At 39.8% G+C, this 16,982-nt stretch overlaps 2 protein-coding genes across 20 annotated transcripts in view, besides 4 other annotated features; one reads left to right on the top strand and one right to left on the bottom strand.

Moving 5' to 3' along the window:
* METTL25 (methyltransferase like 25) overlaps positions 1 to 5,305 on the bottom strand; it is a 120,711-nt gene extending 115,406 nt beyond the window's left edge. For 13 of the 18 annotated variants that reach the window (NR_144941.2, NR_144940.2, XR_007063135.1 and 10 more), the window contains exon 1: positions 5,010 to 5,305. Coding sequence is in view for 7 of the 18 variants with exons in the window: in NM_032230.3 (NP_115606.2) it covers positions 5,010 to 5,268 (259 nt within the window). In the remaining 11 variants the exon portion in view is untranslated. Of the gene's footprint in view, positions 1 to 4,917 lie in introns of all 18 variants that reach the window. The other 5 variants (NR_144943.2, NR_144942.2, XR_007063138.1 and 2 more) reach the window with 1 other exon arrangement.
* Positions 4,517 to 5,077: an enhancer, noted in NCBI's record as "H3K27ac-H3K4me1 hESC enhancer chr12:82752536-82753096 (GRCh37/hg19 assembly coordinates)". NCBI's record gives its function as "activates a minimal SCP1, AML or CMV promoter by ChIP-STARR-seq in naive H9 embryonic stem cells {active_cell/tissue: H9 hESC(naive)}" and the evidence as "EXISTENCE:reporter gene assay evidence [ECO:0000049][PMID:30033119]".
* Positions 5,008 to 5,567: an enhancer, noted in NCBI's record as "active region_6690". NCBI's record gives its function as "activates an Ori minimal core promoter by ATAC-STARR-seq in GM12878 lymphoblastoid cells {active_cell/tissue: GM12878}" and the evidence as "EXISTENCE:reporter gene assay evidence [ECO:0000049][PMID:35858748]".
* Positions 5,008 to 5,638: a biological region, named in NCBI's record as "H3K27ac hESC enhancer GRCh37_chr12:82751975-82752535".
* CCDC59 (coiled-coil domain containing 59) lies at positions 5,029 to 11,531 on the top strand. Of its 2 annotated transcripts, none has more exons than NR_033192.1 (4): positions 5,029 to 5,155; positions 6,565 to 6,874; positions 9,240 to 9,339; positions 10,522 to 11,530. NR_033192.1 is itself a non-coding variant. In NM_014167.5 (4 exons), exons 1-4 carry the CDS (start codon positions 5,458 to 5,460, stop codon positions 10,681 to 10,683), a joined length of 726 nt encoding a protein of 241 aa, NP_054886.2. In that variant the 5' UTR covers positions 5,447 to 5,457; the 3' UTR covers positions 10,684 to 11,531. The 2 variants fall into 2 exon arrangements, 1 of the variants encoding a protein (NP_054886.2); NM_014167.5 differs by lacking the exon at positions 5,029 to 5,155 and adding an exon at positions 5,447 to 5,611 and having other exon boundaries at positions 10,522 to 11,531.
* Positions 5,078 to 5,638: an enhancer, noted in NCBI's record as "H3K27ac hESC enhancer chr12:82751975-82752535 (GRCh37/hg19 assembly coordinates)". NCBI's record gives its function as "activates a minimal SCP1, AML or CMV promoter by ChIP-STARR-seq in naive H9 embryonic stem cells {active_cell/tissue: H9 hESC(naive)}" and the evidence as "EXISTENCE:reporter gene assay evidence [ECO:0000049][PMID:30033119]".
* Positions 11,532 to 16,982: the final 5,451 nt, after the last annotated feature.

The raw sequence follows: 16,982 nt of genomic DNA, 5'->3' as shown, positions 1-16,982 counted from the left end.
CTATCCTTCAATTCTTTCATCATAGGTACTAAAATCCAGCATTAGGGCTTACTTGGAATTAGTTTCCTAAGTTAGAGTCACACTTTCCTTTTTTTTTTTTTTAAACATCTAGTTTTTTTTAGTTGAAAAATGGAATGGCAGATACTTTATTGTAGTGAATCTATTTTGTTTTCCTAAGGATTTGTGGTGGTTGTTGTTCTATTAATAGTGGGAAGTCAACTTGTTTTGACTCAAACTGTGAAAACTATCCCCCCTTCAGAGTGCAGCAGCTGATGTCTCTGCTTAGTTGCTTTTTATTTACCCACTGTCTGGTGGTATACCTGAGCCTGCAGAGTTTAGCAGTCAGATAAAGATTTGGGTAGATTTTCTAGTCAGATTTTGAGGCTCACCCTTTCTGTAGTTCCTTTTTTTACAATTCAAAGACTCCCTAGTGTAAATTTCCAGTTGCTCTGCCAAACTTGAATTTTGCCCTTTCATACAAGAATTCAATAAGGCTTCTGATATTTACCACCCAAGTTGTATGTACTTTAGGAAATACACTCTGTTGAAGGTGCAGCAAACTTGTGGGATCTCTAGCCAGGGGAAGCTCTGCCTCTCAAAAGTTTTTTGCCAGTGTTTCTGCTAGGATCTCTAGGTCTCCCAGGCATGTGGAGTTAAGAGATCATTTGGGGATTCAGGCAGCGTTTATACTCAGATCTTAGATCTCAGACCTTTTGTATCTCCTGTTTCCAGAATGTACGTCTTAAATTTGCACCTGCTCCGATCTCTGAATTTTGCCATCACCACCTTGACCTGGTAAGGATGTGGTATTCCACTGCTAGATCTACAGGGGCTAGGAGCATCTCTAGCAAGAAAGCCATAAACTCTGACTTCCTACCCAATCAATCACAGTCTTTCAATAGTAACCTCTTCTTATATTTCTGCCTTTGGCATTTTCCAGAATCTTACAGTTGTTTTTAATAATCTGGCCAGTTTTCATCATTGTTATCTGCAGGGGAATCTGACCTCTTCAAGCTACTGTTCCTTGAAATGTCCCTGGACTATTTTAATAGCCTCTTATATTGTATTCCTGTTTCTTCCCTTAATTTCCTTCACCTTTCTTACCTTCTCTTCTCCACACAGAAACCAGGTGATTTGAAACATAAATCACACGGTATCACATCACCACACAAAATTCTCAAAGAGCTTCGCATTTCACTCAGAATAAAAGCCAAATACTGAGTACAGCCTACAAGTTTTATGTGAGGATGTCCTGGGCTACCTCCAAATGCCATCTCTCACCGGTCTCACCAAGACTGCTCAGCTGTGTTTAAAATGCACCAAGCGTGCTCCAGCTTGGGCACCTGCTGTTCACTTCACGTGAAAGATATCCCTTTCTATATATTAGCTGAATTACCTTTCACAGTATCCCATCAGGCAGGTACTAAAGTTACCCCCATTTTACAGATGAGGAACTAATGTACAACGAGTTGAAGTAAATTGCCCAAGTTAGCACAGCTACTAAGTGCTGGAGTCAATATTTGACCCCAGGAAGTCTGTCTGGAAAGCCATAATTTATGCACTGAAAAGATAGTTATTTCTAACATATTTGCTTTTTATTTTAGAGAATTAAATATTTTATTCTAGTTCTTTTTAGACGAACAATGAAGAAGAAACTCTTAGGACTCTAATGAGACAAGAAGATCACCTGGCACATGAAACCTACTGAAATGGACACACTGAGGACTTTTAGAAAAAACTTTGTTCCATAAAACACCAAATGATTGTGCCGAACATCTGTTAGTGTGCTTTTCCAAACTGTGCATTGCGCTCTGGGAATTATGTTTACTTGTAACTCCTCACAAAATATCAGCAGAAGACTGAGAGGTGACAGCGTGCCGGCAGCCCTCACTCGCTCTTGGCGCCTCCTCAGCCTTGGCGCCCACTCTGGCCACGCTTGAGGAGTCCTTCAGCCCACCACTGCACTGTGGGAGCCCTTCTCTAGGCTGGCCGAGGCTGGAGCTGGCTCTCTCAGCTTGCAGGGAGGTGTGGAGGGAGAGGCACGGGTGGGAACCAGGGCTGCGCGCCACGCTTGCTGGCCAGCGCGAGTTCCGGGTGGTTGTGGGCTTGGCAGGCCCAGCACTCAGAGCAGCCGGCCAGCACCGCTGGCCCCAGGCAGTGAGGAGCTTAGCACCCAGGACAGCAGCTGCGGAGGATGCACCAAGTCCCCCAGCAGTGCCGGCCCACCAGCGCTGCTCTTGAATTCTCACCGGGCCTCAGCTGCCTCCCTGCGGGGCAGGGCTCAAGACCTGCAGCCCGCCATGCCTGAGTCCCCCTCCCCCCCACCGTGGGCTCCTGCGTAGCCCAAGCCTCCCCAACGAGCACCGCCTCCTGCTTCACAGTGCCTGGTCCCATCGACCGCCCAAGGGCTGAGGAGTGCGGGCGCACGGCATGGGACTGGTGGGCAGCTCCACCTGCAGCCCCAACGTGGGATCCACTAGGTGAAGCCAGCTGGGCTCCTGAGTCTAGTGGGGACTTGGATAAACTTTATGTCTAGCTAAGGGATTGTAAATACACCAATCAGCACCCTGTGTCTAGCTCAAGGTTTGTAAATGCACCAATCAGTGCTCTGTGTATAGCTGATCTAGTGGGGACTAGGAGAACTTTCATGTCTAGCTCAGGGATTGTAAATGCACCAATCAGCACCCTGTCAAAATGGACCAATCAGCTCTCTGTAAAATGGACCAATCGGCAGGATGTGGGTGGGGTCAGATAAGAGAATAAAAGCAGACTGCTGGCGCCAGCAGCGACAACCCTGTGGAAGCTTTGTTCTTTCACTCCTTGTGATAAATCTTGCTGCTGCTCTCTCTTTGGGTCCACACTGCGTTTGTGAGCTGTAACACTCACCGCAAAGGTCTGCAGCTTCACTCCTGAAGCCAGCGAGACCACGAACCCGCCAGAAGGAAGAAACTCCGAACACATCCAAACATCAGAAGGAACAAACTCTGGACACGCCGCCTTTAAGAACTATAATACTCACTGAGAGGGTCTGTGGCTTCATTCTTGAAGTCAGTGAGACCAAGAACCTAACAATTCCGGACACAAGACCATACTCCTTGTGAGTCCCTAGTGGAAATCTATTTCAGTCTCCTTACAGCTCCTTAAACATACCTTGTAGGCTCCCTCGTCAGGGCATTTCTGTTTCCTGTTGTCACTAAATGGACTGCTTTCCCTCCAGAGATCTTCATGGCTCGGTTTTTTTCTTATCTTTTCAGCGTTAGAGTCACCTCAGTGAGGTCTTGCCAGGACAACTTACTTAAAAATGCAAACATTTTCCTCTTCTTCCCCTTACTTACTCCTCCCTTATCTAGTATACTTTTTTTCTTACAGCACTAAAAAAGTTTCAAATCAGATGACCCAGGTTTGAGAATCTTCCATTATCAGCTATATCCCTTGCAAATTAACTCCTCAAGTTATAATTCCACAAATCGACAATAACAGAACCTATCTTGCAAGGCTGATGTAAAGATTAAAAGAGAAAATACACATGAAGACACTTAGCACACTACAGGGTATATAGTAAATATCAAATAATCCAATTATTATTAGAATATGTAAGACAATCTGACTCTACCATTGTCTGGAGACCAGGCTAAACACGTATTAAAGTCTTACACTCTAAACTTGAGAGTAGTTTCATTTTATTTATTTAAAACTAACATGAGTAACTCATTAATTCCTCCATTCAACAAATATTCATCCAGTATCTAATGTATGCCAAGTATTTTACCAAGTGCTGGGAATACATCAGTTGACAAGTCAGACAAAGACTCTGCTCTTTTGGAGTTTAAGTAAAATTGTCATATCATAAGTGCCATATATTTATTATGAGAGCAAACTGAAGAAGTGCCTAACTTTTCAATAACAATTACTTAAAAAAACAACAACAGTATTTACCAAGTGCTATTATAAGAGGTCCCTCTAGTGATGCTTTGCATTCAGAGAATGCTCAATGAATAAAGTTCACTAGTAAGGGTAACTTTGGGAAGTCTAGAAGGAAAGTAAAAATCCCAGAAGCCTGTTGGTGTCCATCATTCTACTTCCAAAATATGCTTGCCTGAGAAGAATCTACATTTCTTGAGGGTAGGAAAAGCTTGAGCCTACAAAAATTCAAGACACATATTAGGTACTTTAAAATAGTTTTTAAATGAAATAGTGACTATCCGAATACCATCCTAGTCCAAGATACAATCATCTGTTGTACTACTGAGGTAGTCTCCTAACTGGCCTCTCAGCTTCAGCTTTTGCCCTAGTCTATTCTTCAAATAATTCACAGTTATCTTTTCAAATGTGAATTAGGTCACTATGTTGCCTAAATAATCCCAAGGGTTTCCGTCACACTTAAAATCCAAAATCCTTCCAAGGCCTAGAAAGGCCTGTGCCATCTGGCCTCTGCTTGCCTCCCGTCCTGCACCTGCAGCCCCTCACCTGGCTAGAGCCAAGCCTAGCCTGCGGTTCCCACCGCCTGCAACCCCTCCCTGTGGCTCTGCAGCTAGTGCCTTCTCATGTTCCTGACCTCCTAAATTGAGGCAGCCTCCTTACACAATCCCTACCACATTACACTGTTTTTATTTTCTACTTCATTACCACCACTTGAAATTATCTTTATTAACTGTTGAGTAATCTTCCACCACATGCTGGCATTTATAAAACCTGTGAGAGCACTGCTCCCCTAGTTTCCCTAGCGTCAATTATTATGGAATTACTAGATGAAGGAACTCCCCTGCCCTGTTTCCTGCTTTCTTTAAATTGTGGACATACACAAGCACCCAAAGAAAGAGTGATCCTGATTCCAAAGAACATCCCCACCCCACCCCTCAACTAATCCGACCCCTCCTCGGTTTCCCAGCGGGCCGCCCCGCCTCCGCCGCCACGCACCTGGTTCTGCTGGCTTCCACCAGGGGGCTCGCTTCGTCTGCCGGGACCTTCTCCTCCGCCTCCCTTCCCGCCCCGCCTACCCCACCACCCACCTGCTTCCCACTCTGCTTCCACTAGGGGGCGCGTCTCTGAGGGCAGGGCCTCCGTCTCCGACGCTGACTTCCTCAGCGCAGCCAGCACTGTCTCCGGTGGCAAGTCGACCAGCTCCTCCCACACGGATTCTGTGTAGAAATCCACGGTATGTGCATTGGAAATGGACAGGGCATCCCTCAGGAACTGCAGCAGTCCCTGCAACTTGGCACGCAGCGTGGGCAGGTCCGGGGTCACCGGGAGAGGGCAAGAAGCCGCCATGACGCTCACCCTCCGAGGCTGTAGGTGGCGCAAACATGGCCGTGAGGCGCCAGCTCGGCCCAAATTAGCACAGGCAGGCTCAGTAGAGCTCCGAGCCGGATTCCTTCTGAGCGATTGATTGCTTCGGCTTGGTGACGTATTTTGTGGGCGTCCGTCGTGGTCTTCTGATGACGCAGTTAGTCGGCTGCAATGGCGCCGGTGAGGCGGTCCGCGAAGTGGCGGCCTGGTGGTATTGAGGCGCGTGGTGAAGGGGTTTCCACTGTCGGGTACAGGAATAAGAATGTGAGACAGAAGACATGGCGGCCTAACCACCCGCAAGCCTTCGTGGGGAGCGTTCGCGAGGGTATGTAAGAAGGCAACCATTTGCAAATCCTCAGGCTTGCTAAGTTTTAGGATATAAGATTCGCTGAAGCTTGGAAGAAGGATTTAGGAACCAGACCCGGTCCTACTTGGGGCAAGGGAATTCATTCCTGAGCCCGCTAAAGCTGTGAGCTTCGCAGAGCTCTAGATAGGAAGACGGAGCAGTGTTGCTATTATTTAAACGTCTTTTCTGACGTAACCCTGTATTTCATCAGAACTTTTTTCCTATATTTTTCCTGAGAAACTGAGCAGAGAGAGTCTATGACCCTGTGAACTCTTGCGCATGTGGTAAGGTAAAGGATAGAGAGGAGGACAGGGCCAGAAACACTGCTCCGAATTCTTCCTTATTACAAATACCCGAGGCCCTCCAGCCTTCGCTTTAATTTGTGTTTGTCATTTTGTATTGCTGTCTGTAAGGTCTCTTAGATCCCACTTGGAATATATAAATGTTAAATTCAGTCTTCCGATAATTGCTAGCTTTTCAGACAACCATACACTGTCTTTTTCTTTCGTGTTGAAACATTTTCGAAAACATGTAGTTTGTCCAAGATACTAGATGTGGCATTTTCTTTCCTATTTTTTAAGCATTTATTGAAGGCTCAGATTAAGTGTTTTAGATGAACTAAGGAATTTGTTTTGATTTGTGAATACAGCTGTAAACTCAAGTTGTGCAACAGTCTGAACTGGTCAGTTTTTCTTTGAGATTCTTACTTGGATTTCCGCATGACTGTTAGCCTGGTCTTTTTGCAAAGGGCCAACTTACTATGCAATCCATCAGCTTAAATTTGTTGCTTGAAATAATTTTTTAAAGCAAAATATAATACTAGAATCTGAATGTGATGACGTAAAAAAAGTTTTCATTTGTAATTAACAGCTCCATTCTTCGTTCAACTTCTTTTCTCTGAAAGTAATTTTGGATGATATTCCTCAATGTAGGACAAGGCTTTGCTTTTCGAAGAAAACTGAAAATACAGCAAAGTTACAAGAAATTGCTACGGAAGGAAAAGAAGGCTCAAACGTCACTGGAATCTCAATTCACAGATCGATACCCAGATAATCTGAAACATCTCTATTTAGCTGAAGAGGAAAGACATAGGAAGCAAGCAAGAAAAGTCGACCATCCTTTGTCAGAACAAGTTCACCAGCCGTTGCTTGAAGAACAGTGTAGCATTGACGAGCCTTTATTTGAAGATCAGTGTAGCTTTGACCAGCCTCAGCCAGAAGAACAATGTATTAAAACAGTAAAGTATGTATTTTCTTCATTTGAAATCCTTTAAGTGTTGTTTTATTATTTAAAAGTACTATAGGATAATTTATATAGGAATTGTATTTTTTCTTATTTAACACATTTTAGAAGTCACGGTTTAATTAGGGAAACATTTTCATGGAGGCTCTATTTTTAGCTTCAATAACTGAATTAGGCTGGTTTAGCCTAATTGACAAAGTAACGTAATGGGAATTAAGAGCTCTGGAATTTGGGTTTCTTCCTCTCAAGTACAGGTGGTAACTTGATTGGACCATATGTTATGACTATATTTTTGAAAAATAACTTCTGAGAGGTGTTATAATTTTAGTCATTAACAGTATGGGTTCTAGAGCCAGACTCAACATGTTAGTGCCCCAGTGACCTCTTCTTTAAAATGGGAAAAATAACACTATGTCCTCTTTAAATTGGGAAAGATAATACTGTAATGAATATATACTTCAGAGCTGCCATGTTGCACAGCTCCAGAATGGATTACTCACATAAACTCAGGTGTTCCTAAGGTGTTTCATGACATTGTTGTGAAGACTCAGCGAGTTAATGTATATGAGGATCTTAAAGGGTATATATGGTACGTGGTTAGTGCTCTTGAGCGTTAGCTACTACTATTAATCTGGATTTTCTGCAGAGGACCAGAAATGGGTTGCAATTGCAAATGCACAGCTCCGTGACGCTTTGGTTTTATAAGAGTTAACTTATAAAAAACTATCGCTGCATACTTAAAGTTAAAAAACAATGCTAAAATCTAAAATTGCAAGAAGCTGGGTATTAACTTGGGAGCATAATTTTTTACTTCATTAAAACCGTATCTTTTAAAGTCGTGAGCTATTTGCGCTAAAAATAACAGGAAATGGGACCACGGGGGGTAAAAATGTAATTGGGGATGAAGGCAGAGACACAAAAAGTTTACTACTTTTGGTAGGCTTGATCATTATATTGTTAAATAATCAGTATAAAGTTCAGGGAAAAGATTAGCAGTAGAAATGTAGATTTGAGTTATTCTCTGATAATTGAAGTAAGGAAGTTTAAATCATGAGAAAGGAAGGTAAAAAATCATGCTTTTAAAGATTACGGTTTATTTTGGGGTGGAAACAGGGAAAATATTGTCATTGAGGAAGTTAAGCTTTTCAGGACTGGAGAAAGAGAAATACAGTGACAGCTCAGTCCACAGAGAAAAGTTGTGAGGGATTAGTCAGCTATCAAATATTGTGGTCCCCCGTTATCTGTTTGGAAGATGTTCCAAGACCCCCAGTGGATGCCCTGAAACTGCAAATGGTACCAAACCCAGTTTCTGTCAATTGGAATGTATTTCTGTTAATGTCTTTTACTTGGGAATTTAATGCCTTTTCCATCTTAAATCACGTACTGTGGCCATAACTTTTGCAGTTTGAAGTATGACAGCAAAACTAGCATGAATTTATTTTTCCTTCACAATTTGATGTATAGAAGATTTTTTTTAAAACCATAGATCTTAGCAACTTCAACATACGATTTTTTTTCCTTCCTTATTAAGTCAAGAACTTTTACCTTTTCACTTAAAGCAAACACTCAGTGTGGTGTACAATTTAAAACATATGAATTGTTTATTTCTGGAATTTTTCAATTTAATATTTTTGGACCTCTGTTGACTGCAGGTAACTGAAACCGTGGAACAGGGAAACCATGGATAAGGGGTGTGCTACTGTACTATAAAGTTGAAGGTGAATAGGACTGAGGACAGGTCTCTGGATTTGTGGACTAGGCAGTCACTAGTCACTAGTCCAAAGTCGCTAGTGATTAGTAGCTATTAAAATATTATATTGTAGTTACAGAGTATAGTGAAAAGTTGAATGATAGAGGAAAGTAAAGTTATTACTGAATCAAGGATGCTGAGGAAATGAATGGAATTCCAAGTAGTTGGATTAGCCTTGACAAAAAGGACATCTTCAGAGAGGTGAGAAGTAGTTAAAGATAGAACAGTTCAAAATGGTATCTAGATCCAAGGTATGGTGATTCATGACTAGGTAGGTAAAATGGAATAGAGAGGAGGGGCTCAGAAAACTTCGAGATTAAAGTTCATATATACACATAATTTTCTTAACATCCTTAAACAACAAGTTTAATTCTTTTTTCAGTCTGGCATTTCTATCATTCATATACTGGTTTCATTACTTTTAAAAGTTTTTTTTTTTAACATTTTAGGATTTTTCATAGCTTTCTATATTTTTTCCTAGTTGAAATATTTCTCTAAGAATCCCCATTTGTGCCTTTTATTTAATATATACTCTTAAAAGCTACAACTGTGTTTTTAATACCTTTTTGGACATTTTACTAATAAAGTCCTGTTTCCTCATCCCCCAATTAAAAGCTCCTTTACAATTCCAAAGAAAAATAAAAAGAAAACATCAAATCAAAAAGCACAAGAAGAATATGAACAGATACAAGCCAAACGTGCTGCTAAGAAACAAGTAAGTTCTACTTTGAAAATATTTAGTATAGTTTTTCTTATTTATCCTAAATATATATACTATACCTGTTGTGCTTCTTGGTGCTGGGCACACAGTATTCTCTCTGTAAATATTTGTTGAATGAATGAGTAGTCTGAGCAAAGGTAGAGGATTGCATCTTATTCCAAGTCCTTGCTTGTATTATGTCAAGCAATACTAGTAGGTCAAAAATAGGATTTTGAACACATTGTTTATAGGTCAATATTGTGAACATCTGGGACAAAGTTTCACTGAGTTTGGTCCAGGAACTTGCACTTGTTAACAAGCACCTCAAAAGATTTTTATGTATGATAAAACTTGAGAACCACTGACCTAAGAAAAATATAGATGATTTTCATAACATTACATTGAAGAAAGTAAAAGCAAAGGGGAGGTGTTAGAATAAAATACTTTTTTACTATAAAGAGGTGTTCTTGCCTGTTTAAAAAAAAAAAACAACTATTATTTTAGCTTAGCAAAAGTTAGCACTCTATTATTTAGAAAACCAGAATTGTAGACCAGAATTAGGCTTTTTTCAAATGAATACAGAATTACCCACAGCCTCAACAAAATTGTCATTTTGTTGTAACTGTGGTAGTTCTTGTTTTTCCATTGAAGTTTTATTGATCTGTAGCTTTAAAAAGTATAATGTGTCAGTTAAAAATACCCTAAAGATATGTAATTTTGCTTGTTTTTGCTTTAGAATATCTGTAATTAAGAATTCTTAACATCAAAAATGTTTTCATTGTTCTTAAGCTGGTGGCAGATTAGGAGAAAGCAGGAAAATTTCTTCATGGGAATACTGGACCAGTATTAACTAGCACAGCTTTATGCTTTTTCCAACCATCTGTCACCTTTGGAAACAGTATATCAGATGAAGTGCAGTAATGACCATTATGCTGTAAAACATTTAATGTCCTTTTAAAATTTTGTTTATATAGAGCTGGGGCTTTGTGATCATGAAAATTCTCTGTTATACCATGGGTCATTATAATATGAAGGCAAAGAGGGTACTTTGCTTCAATTAGGAGAAACAGTGCACATCTTGCAAAATAGAAGAGACAAACCTTAGAGTGTTTGCTTAGTAATAGCTATTTCAAGACAATTTCTGAACTGTATCTACTGTTTGTTGCTAATGAAAGTTACATATGTTAATAATTTTAGGAATTCGAGAGGAGAAAACAGGAGAGAGAAGAAGCCCAAAGGCAGTACAAAAAGAAGAAAATGGAAGTGTTTAAAATACTGAACAAAAAGACTAAAAAGGGCCAACCAAACTTGAATGTACAAATGGAGTACCTTCTTCAAAAAATACAAGAAAAATGTTAAACATTTTGTTCCTACAGGTTAAAATATCTGCTGCCTATTAGGTTCTTCTGTGACATGTGCCTCCCAGCAGTGAACTAAATTTGTCGACATAAACTGGATTGCTAAACTATGCTAAATATAAGATGTTCACATATTTTTATTATGGTAAAAAATTTTCTAAATATGTTCTACATGTTTCTTATTTATTTGCCTCTGAAGGAAGGTTGGCCTGAAGAACTGAAAGAACCTCTTATTTTGCAAGACAGGCCCAAGCATGTAATACTTTTGTACCATATGAGATTTATATGAAATAAATTTTTTAAAAATAAGGAATCAGAGCTATCAATGAAGCATTTCAATGAAATATTTCAATTTAGTAAACAGTTACGTTGTTTTAAAATTTATTTTAATGATGAGGGAGGCAAAGACTCCTCTTGGACTTTTTATTTATTTTAAGTACATGTTACAGGGTGATGGGTGCTGAAATAAACTGCCCTCACCATATAACAAAGCGACCTTCACAAAGCAGTGAACTCAAAGTCTGATATTTATAAACATTCCCTTAAATGGATGTACATGGCTTGTTAGTCTAAGGTCTTTTAAATAATGATGGAAACCCCACAGTGTCACAGCAAGAATTAAGCTTTCCAGTTCCTATGGACCCTATACTTTAAGAACATTATCTCTGTCTCCCTTGTTGGTACCCTTGTGAGCTGAGATAAGCCACTGGGATAACTGCTTCTCATGCTTTGCAAATTGCAGAAGAATGAGAAAGGCTTGAAATATATATATAGTCATTGTAAGCAAAAAGGGCTGACCAATAATACTTGCCAAATATTGAATAATAAAATTTTATAAATGATAGCAAATACAGTCTGAAATTGCATTAAGATTTTAGGGAGCTCTTTCAGTCTACTAATTTATTCTGCATTTCAAGATCAGTAGAAAGTGCTTAGATAACACTGAACTTAATCTTCATTGCATAGAAAAGCAATGCTTTAGAAATTTGCATTGCACTATATTGCATTTAAAGTAAGCAGCCCAGAAAGCCTAAATTTGGCTACATTGGTGAAGACACATCACATCATGATGGAGGATAAATTATTTCAGTAAATTGCTTTACAATTTTTGTGCATTTTCACTTCTAGACACTTAATCATGACAAAACATGGAAGGAGATCTAGTCCTTTTGAGAGACAAGTGAAAGTCAAATTATATTCATTTTAACGACTTTGTTAAAAGCTACTTTATGCAAAACTTATATTAAGGAGTTACTCTTTAAAATTCCAAAGTTCTTGTAGAGGAATAAATGCCAAGTAATGGTATAATGGGGGAAAAAGTAATCAGTGACAATCAGATAAAGCAAAAGGTTAAGATTTTAGTGTTATCAATGAAGCACCCAGGAAGCTTTTCCTTTTTCGTTTTTTTTTTTTTTATTATCTTGGTGGTGGACAGTCTCCCGCCCACGCTGCAGTGCAGTGGTGTGATCATGGCTCACAGCAGCCTCAAACTCCTGGGCTCAAGTTATCCTGCTCAGCCTCACGAGTAGCTGGGACTACATGTACGTGCCAACACCTGGCTAACATTTTCTGTAGAGATGAGGTCTTGCCAAGTTCAGCCTTGCCTGGGCTGGTTTTGAACTGGCCTCAGGGATCCTTATGGCTCAACCTTGGCCGTACAAAGTGCTGAGATTATAGGTGTGAGCCACTGTGCCTGGCCTATAGGCTTCTTAAGAGGCATGTTTGAGGACCCTACACTAAGGAATTTGGATACTGTAGATGGGCTTAGTAATGGATGTTTTAACAGGCAACCCCAGTGATTCTGCTGGGTTGCTCCTCGCCACACTTAAAAAATGTTGGACCAGGGCCTCAGAGAAGAAAGAGGTTTTGTTTGGTTTAAGAAATCAGAGAAAGTTTCATGTGTGCAATAGCATTTAAGGAAAGCCTTCGAGGTTAAAAAGATTAGAAGTGTAAGAGCATGAGGAAAGTTACAAAGGGAAGCAAGCTTGGTATTATTTAAATATCTAATAAGTAGTTAGAATATATTATTATTGATGGAGGTAATAGTTCCTATCGGTTCCCTATTGTTTCCTTCCATGTGGAGAAGACACCATCATCCAAACACTCATGGTATCTTTACTTCTTGTCCCACTTGTTCCACCCAGGGGAGGTAAAGTAATAAATGATGTCTGGGAGGAGGACCTGGGCTGTCAGCAGAGTGCATGTACTCTTAATTGCTATTCTAATACTATAAGTGAAGAACAGGCTATATTGATAAATGTTAGAAGGGGGATGGATATTTTTGGAAAATATATATAGAAATTTGTGCTATATGGGTTAGTACATCAAGAAATAAAAGAGGAATAAAATTTGAAGGAGCACAACATAGAAAGAGAGAGGCTTAATTGTGGCCATAGCTTATGGTTTCTGGTTTCAGACCTTAATGTATACGTAGGGAGCTTTGATCTTGGTAGTTTGTAGAGGCTTCTATTAGGGCTATTAATTTGACTTTGTAAGTGTGAAGTAGGCTTTTAGTTGCAGTTTTGGCAAGAGGCTTTAAGACTTAAGGCACGTGGGATTTTGACCTAAAAGTTTAGGATATCTTTGTCCAGAGAAATTGGTAATTTCTATAGAGACAATGTGCAATACTGGGCTTTAAGCACATATGCGCAGGCCTCAATGAAGCAGAGTTTGAGTGAGGGTGATGGAGACATATTGGCTTCAGCAAAGACAGAGAATCTGGAAGTGGGGCTCACCCAAATGCTGGCCTCATGGATGTCCTCACCAGATGCCAGCCCAAGGTGAGGCTTAGCAAGCTACTGTAGTGGTGCTGGCATCAACAAAGGCACTGGCATGTGCAAGTGGTCTCATGCAGGCTACTGCAGCTTGACCTTGGCCTACATTAAATATGCATGTGTGAGCAGCAAAGGCCTCACTCATCAGATGCTGCTAACTCGACACCAGAAAACAATTTTATTCGTGGCAAGGATTTAATGATATAAGAAGAAATATTCATAGCTATGCTAGATGTTAATGACTGTATCAGTATTTGCTACTTTTAAAGACATGTGCCTTGGTTGCAATATAAAGTTCTAGAAAAGCTCAAGGTCTAAATTGTTCTGAGAGTCATTGAAATGCTGTGTAAAAGAGAAAATTTTGAATCTGAAGATATTTGAACATACTGGGAAAAGATCAGGTCTCCTTTGACTTGGTGATTGGGACTGGACCACTCCAAATTCTATACTTGGTAAGATAGCATCAGTGTTTCAGATGTCACTTTCTGAAAGAGAAGATAGAGTACCATGCTAAATGCATGGTGAAAAGTTTAACTTGTTGCTGACAAATTTCTTCCAACTTAGTTTAAGTGTGCAGCTCATGTGACTGGCATTCTGATAAGGCTAAAGCCATCACCGGTTATCTTCCTTCCTACTGATTCATGAGTTCCTGCTATAGAGTTTCTGCTACATGTAGTCTTTGGCAATAAATACTACTGAGTTTTGGGAGCATAATTTTGTACAGGATAACTGCCTTTTAAATTTGGTGGGTATAAGGCAAGTATTGTAATTACCTTGGGTGTTTTATTGACTCTCCAGACCTTTTGTAAGTTGAGGCACACCATAGAGTTATTGAACTAATTTAACTTCTGAAGTGCCAAATGAATGTGTTGTATCCATATCCAAAAAGAGACAGCCAGGCTGCAGCTGCTGAAGGAATCCTGAGAGGCATTAAGAACATTTCTGCCTGTGAGTGAATCCAATAAGAAACTGGGAAGGGCTTTAATTTTATTGAACTTTTACCTTATTACAGTGAGAGAATTTGATTCTGGGTTTTGATTATTTTGGTCTTTGGACATTAACTTGAAAGGTAACTTAATATGTAGACTTAATTTTCTCCCCAGGAGTTTGATAAGAGGAAAGATTTATACTGAAAGGTGGGACATCTGCATTTTGCTGGCAAATTAACATTGGGTGCTTTTTATGTATTTGGATAATTCCCATTGAGAACACTTGATTGAATCACCCATGGAGCTGATAGAGAGCCCTGTGGTGGAAATGCTACTTATGGGCCTGATGACCTTGGGTTTTACAAAAAGATTTATTGAGGTATAATTGACTGAGCATACATAAAATGTTCAATTTGGTGACTCTTGACACTTGCATATGCTCATGAAACCATCACGGCAATCAACTACCTATCACCATCACTTCCTAACGTTTCCTCATGGCCTGTTGTAGTCAATCCCAGGCAGCCACTAATCTGCTCTGTCACTAGTATGCATTTTCAAAATTTTTATATAATCAGGATCATATACTATAAACTTTTTTGTCTGGGCCTCTTTAAGTCAGCATAATTATTTGGAGATTCATCCATGTTGTTGGATTTATCAAAAGTTTGCTCCTTTGTATTGCTGAGTGTTCTATTGTATGGACATAGACAATTTGTTTATCCATTCACCTGCTGATAGGCATGATAGGCATTCTTTTTTTTTTTTTTGAGACTCAGTCTCACTCTGTTGCTCAGGCTGGAGTGCACCAGTGCATTCTCAGCTCACTGCAACCTCCACTGCCTGGGTTCATATGATTCTCCTTCCTCAGCCTCTCAAGTAGCTGAGATTACAGACGCATGCTACCACACCTGACTAATTTTTGTATTTTTAGTGGAGACAGGGTTTTGTGACGTTGACCAGGCTGGTCACGAACTCCTGACCTCAAGTGATTAGCCCTCCTTGGCCTCCCAAAGTGCTGGAATTACAGGTGTGACCCACCACTCCTGGCCTGGCTCTTAAAAATAAAGCTATTATGAACATTTGTATATAAGTCTTCTACGGGCATACACTTTAATTTCTGTTAGGTAACTACCTAGGAGTAGAATGACTGAGACACATGGTAGTTAGTATTTAACATTTTTGGGAAATATGACACCTGTAAAATGACTGGGTACTGGAAAAGGAGCTTCCTGGTAAAACGGATAAGGAGCCTATGAAGTCAAATTAGTGGTCCAACAATGACACTCCTCTAAGGACCTCAGTAACACCCCATTGTCTGCTCTGTGTTTTATCTATTTGCAGGGTCGGCCTTCCAGTTCCTAGAGGATATGCATGCTGTATTTTCTACCTTAAATTTCACCACTTTATCTCAGTCTGTTCTTCAGAGAACAAATAAAATAACTGGGGAGGATGTCTCCAGCAAACACTGATAGGCTATGATTTTACCAGACTTGTAACTTTTCCCAGTTTCAGTTGTGTGAAACTAACTACAACTAACTTATTGCTCCAACTAAATTATTGCCACTCACTCTGTAATGGTGTTATGGAATTAAAGTACACCAGAAGGCAGCACATTGGAACAACCCAAATTACAGCAGATCCTTTGCATCTGTTGGACTCTCCTGGTGCACTGTTAGATCAGACTACTTCTAGTCTTCAGGCTAAAGATTCTACTGATGAGAGAAATATTTGCAATTGACCAAGTAAGGTTCAAATAAATCCTTATAACCCCCCACCAACGTCATTCCAATATCTACACAAACCTGAAGAAATCACAGGAATAAAATCTATTATTGAGTCTTTATAAGAATAAGGACAGCCATATCTCATCCTTGCAATCTTCCCATATAGCCGTTTAAGAAGCCTATCAAGAAAGGATACCCATTTATTCAAGAACTCAGGGTAAGCAATAAAATTATGATTTCTAGATTCCTGGTAGTTTCCAATAGGAACCTGTCTTGTCATCCAATTGCTGAAGAAGTAAATATTTATTTCATAGTGGTAGATGTATGTGCAGCATTCTTTAGTACACATGTAGATACAGTTAACATTTGTTCACTGTTTTTGTGGGAAAATTAACAGCATATGTGGCTATATACCATAGTTGCTCCACCCCCCACCCAACCCTCTGCATCCCTGGTTTTGCTTTTCAAAGTTTCAGTTACGTGTGGCCAACTGCAATCCAAAAATATTAAATGGAAAATTCCAGATTCCTAAGTTTTAAATTGTATGTTGTTGTGAGTAACATGATGAAATCTCACACCATCTCATTCTGTCCTCCCTGAAATGTGAATCATATCCAGCGTATCCCAGCAGTGTATGCTATCTGTCTTAGGCACTTAGTAGCCATCTGGGTTTTAGATCAAAAAATAATAATAATATGTATATAGAGTTTGGTTCTATCCATGGTTTTATGCATCCTCTAGGGGTCTTGAAACATATGTCCCACTGATAAGAGGGGTCTACTATACCACATATTGGATTTATGGACTCCTCATCAATTTGTTTTCAATCTAAACAAAATGACTTTTCTTTGAGGGTCCATTCTCACACAA

The sequence above is a fragment of the Homo sapiens genome, chromosome 12, assembly GCF_000001405.40.
Source record: "Homo sapiens chromosome 12, GRCh38.p14 Primary Assembly".
Taxonomy (NCBI): Eukaryota; Metazoa; Chordata; class Mammalia; order Primates; family Hominidae; genus Homo; species Homo sapiens.
This window is presented reverse-complemented; position numbering and strand designations above follow the sequence as displayed.

What these genes read in the sequence shown, in the direction of transcription:
- CCDC59 (NM_014167.5), top strand. Translation starts at nt 5,458, where the DNA reads ATGGCGCCGGTGAGGCGGTCCGCGAAGTGGCGGCCTGGTGGTATTGAG. An exon ending in CGTGGGGAGCGTTCGCGAGG is followed by an intron (nt 5,612 to 6,564) that starts GTATGTAAGAAG and finishes TCCTCAATGTAG; the next exon opens with GACAAGGCTTTGCTTTTCGA. An exon ending in AACGTGCTGCTAAGAAACAA is followed by an intron (nt 9,340 to 10,521) that starts GTAAGTTCTACT and finishes TAATAATTTTAG; the next exon opens with GAATTCGAGAGGAGAAAACA.